The sequence below is a fragment of the Homo sapiens genome, chromosome 1 (genome assembly GCF_000001405.40).
Source record: "Homo sapiens chromosome 1, GRCh38.p14 Primary Assembly".
Lineage (NCBI taxonomy): Eukaryota > Metazoa > Chordata > Mammalia > Primates > Hominidae > Homo > Homo sapiens.
This window is the reverse complement of record NC_000001.11, coordinates 31,886,297-31,890,072: the sequence shown is the minus strand read 5'-3', so window position 1 is coordinate 31,890,072 and position 3,776 is coordinate 31,886,297. Positions and strand designations below refer to the sequence as shown.

Below are 3,776 nucleotides of genomic sequence, written 5' to 3'. Positions count from 1 at the left end.
ACCCATCTAATTTTTGTATTTTTAGTAGAGACGGGGTTTCACCATGTTGGCCAGGCTGATCTCAAACTCTTGATGACTGTCTTCTTATAAGGACAACAGTTATAGTGAATTAAGTGTCCACCCTACTCTAGTGTGATCTCTTCTTAACTAATTACATCTACAATGACTCTATTTCCAAATAAGGTCACATTCTGAGGTACTGGGGGTTAGGACTTCAACATAGCTCTTTTGGAGGGACATACTCTGCTATAGTCAGAATGTTTGTGTTCCCCTCAAATTCATATGTTGAAATCCTAACTCCTAAGGTGATGGTATTAGGAGGTGGGGTCTTTGGGAAGGCAGAACACTCATGATTGGGATTAGTGCCCTTATAAAGAGACCCCAGAGAGCTAGCCTGGCCCTTCTACTATGTGAGGACATAGTAAGAAGGCACTATCTGTGAACCAGGAAGTGGGCCCTCACCAGACACTGAGGCTGTCAGGGCCTTGATCTTAGACATCCAAGCCTCCAGAACTATGAGTAACAAATTCTGTTGTTTATAAGCCACCCTGTTATAGCAGCCCAAATGGACTAAGACAGCGTTCAATGCGTAACAGGCAGGAACTCTGATACAGGAATCATATCTGCTTTCTGACCTTGTGTGGCTCACAGTCTAATGTGCGGCAGTTGTTAATGTCTTACTTCCTGTCCCCGCCCACCGCGACTGTCTTAGTTCCTTTTGTCTCACAACAGCCTCCTGAGTAGACCCTAGTCTGGCCCCACCATAGTGCATCCTCCATGGGGTGTCAGAGTGATCTTTCCAACACATAGGTTGATCATGGCACCTCCTTCTGAAGCTCCCTGGGCCTTCAGGTAAAGGTTTAGCATGAAAAATCCTTCTAGTTCTAGCTCCTTCCTGCTTGTCTGCACTGAACCTTATACCACAGCCCAGAAAACTGTTTGTAGTTCCCTGATCATATTCTTCTTCTTCTTCTTTTTTTTTTTTTTTTGAGATGGAGTTTTGCTTTGTTGCCCAGGCTGGAGTGTAATGGCGCAATCTCAGCTCACTGCGACCTCTGCCTCCCAGGTTCAAGCGATTCTCCTGCCTCAGCCTCCTGTGTAGTAGCTGGGATTACAGGCGCCTGCCACCACACCTGGCAAATTTTTGTATTTTTAGTAGAGACGGGATTTCACCATGTTGGCCAGGCTGGTCTTGAACTCCTGACCTCAGGTAATCCACCCATCTCGGCCTCTCAAAGTGCTAGGAATACAGGCGTGAGCCACCACGCCGGCTATATTTTTTAAAATTTAAAATTACTTCCTTAGGCACAACTCAACAACAAAAAGACAAACAACCCAATTTAAAAATGGGCAAAGACTTGAGTAGACATTTCTCCAAATAATATATATAAATGGCCAAAAGCACATGAAAAGATGCTCAATGTCATTAATCACTAGATTAATGCGAATAAAACTACAATGAGATACCACTTCATACCCACTAGGATGGTTATAATAAGAAAAGTAACAAGTGTTGGCGAGGATGTGGAGAAGGAGAAATTGGAACATTGCTGGTGGGAATGTAAAATGGTGCAGCTGCCGTGAAAACAATTTGGCAGGACCTCAATAAGCTAAACATAGAATTCATAGAATACTGTCTGACCCAGCAGTTCCACTTCTAGGTATGTACTCAGAAGAATTGAAAACAAGTGTTCAATTGATGGCTCACGCCTGTAATCCCAGCATTTTGGGAGGCTGATGCGGGAGGATCACCGAGGTCAGGAGTTCGAGACCAGCCTGACCAACATGGAGAAACTCCATCTCTACTAACAATACAAAATTAGCTGGGTGTGGTGGCACATGCCTATAATCCCAGCTACTCAGGAGGCTGAGGCAAGAGAATCGCTTGAACCCGGGAGGCGGAGGTTGCGGTGAACCGAGATCACACCATTGCACTCCAGCCTGGCCAACAAGAGCAAAACTCCGTCTCAAAAAAAAAAAAAAAAAAAAGAAAAACAAAAAGAAAACAAGTGTTCAAATAAAAACTGTACACAAATGTTCATAGCAACATTATTCACAATAATCCAAAAGTGGAAATGACCACCCATGGATGGACAAAGAAAATGTGGTATCTCTATACAATGAAATATTACTCAGCCAGACTGGGCGCGGTGGCTCACGCCTATAATCCCAACACTTTGGGAGGCCGAGGTGGGTGGATCACTTGAGGTCAGGAGTTTGAGACCAGTCTGGCTAACATGGTGAAACCCCGTCTCTACTAAAAATACAAAAATTGGCCAGGCACGGTGGCGGGTGCCTGTAATCCCAGCTACTCGGGAGGCTGAGGCAGGAGAATGAATCACTTGAACCTGGGAGACAGAGGTTGCAGTGAGCCAAGATTGTGCCACCGCCCTCCAACCTGGGTGACAGAGCAAGGCTCCATCTAAAAAAAAAAAAAAAAAAGAAATATTACTCAGCCATAAAAAGATGTGCAGTCCTGAAGTCCTGATATATGTCAGAACGTGGATGAGCCTCAAAACCCTAATGTTAAATGAAAGAAGCCGGACAGAGTCACATAACGTGTGATTCTGTTTATATGAGTAATATCCAGAAGAGTTAACTTTATAGGGGAACAAAAGTAGATTGGTGGTTGCTAGGGGATGAGGGGAGGGGAAAATGGGGATTAATTGCTTAATGTATATGGGGTTTTATTTTGGGCTTATGAAAATGTTTTGGAAATAGGGTGGTAGTTGCAGGGCACTGTGAAGGTACTAAACGTCATGGATTTGTACACTTTAAAATATTTAATTTTATGTTATGTGAATTTTATGTCAATAAAAGAAATAAAAACAAAAAAGAATGAAGTATTGATGCATGCTACCATGTGGGTGAACCTTGAAAACATTTTGCTGAAGTGAAAGAAGCAGACAGAGAAGGTCACATATTGTGTGATTCCATTTATATGAAGTATCTAGAATAGGCAAATTCATAGAGACAGAAAGCAGATGAGTGGTTGCCAGAGTCCGAGGGAGGCGGGATGGGGAGTGGCTGTTTAATGGACATGGGGTTTCCTTTTTGGGTGATGAAATGTTTTGGAACTAGATAGTGGTAATGGTTGTACACTATTGTGAATGTACTGAATGCCACCGAATCACAGACTTTAAAATGGTTAAAATGGTAAATTTTATGTTGTGTATATTCTACCACAATAACAAATATTTCCTTAAGAAAGATGTTCTGAAGTGAAGCCAGAGTCAAAGAATGTGAGAATTTTATAAATTCTTGGGGCGTGTTGCTGAATTTATGTTGAGAAGGGATCATTCGTTGCCTTCCCTCCAGGAATGTTTAAGAACCTGTATTGCATCTTTGCTAGACTTGAGTATCGTGGTTAAAAAACAAAGCAGCCAGGCGTGGTGGCTCACGCCTGTAATCCCAGCACTTTGGGAGGCCGAGGCGGGCGGGTCACCTAAGGTCGGGAGTTCGAGACCAGCCTGACCAACATGGAGAAACCCTGTCTCTACTAAGAGTACAAAATTAGCCGGGAGTGGTGGCGCATGCCTGTAATCCCAGCTACTCAGGAGGCTGAGGAAGAGAATCGCTTGAACCCCGGAGGCAGAGGTTGTAGTGAGCTGAGATCGCGCCAGTGTACTCCAGCCTGGGTGACAGAGTGAGACACTGTCTCAAAAAAATAAATAAAATAAATAAACAAAGCAAAATGGCCTCGCTAATTTGATATAACACGGTGCCTCTTCAGGAAAGTTCTCTTGCTTCCAGGTTAACTTGAATGAGAAGAGTGT

At 43.5% G+C, this 3,776-nt stretch overlaps 3 annotated features.

Annotated features, from left to right (window-relative positions):
* Positions 389-538: an enhancer, noted in NCBI's record as "active region_658". NCBI's record gives its function as "activates an Ori minimal core promoter by ATAC-STARR-seq in GM12878 lymphoblastoid cells {active_cell/tissue: GM12878}" and the evidence as "EXISTENCE:reporter gene assay evidence [ECO:0000049][PMID:35858748]".
* Positions 829-878: an enhancer, noted in NCBI's record as "active region_657". NCBI's record gives its function as "activates an Ori minimal core promoter by ATAC-STARR-seq in GM12878 lymphoblastoid cells {active_cell/tissue: GM12878}" and the evidence as "EXISTENCE:reporter gene assay evidence [ECO:0000049][PMID:35858748]".
* Positions 3,103-3,152: an enhancer, noted in NCBI's record as "active region_656". NCBI's record gives its function as "activates an Ori minimal core promoter by ATAC-STARR-seq in GM12878 lymphoblastoid cells {active_cell/tissue: GM12878}" and the evidence as "EXISTENCE:reporter gene assay evidence [ECO:0000049][PMID:35858748]".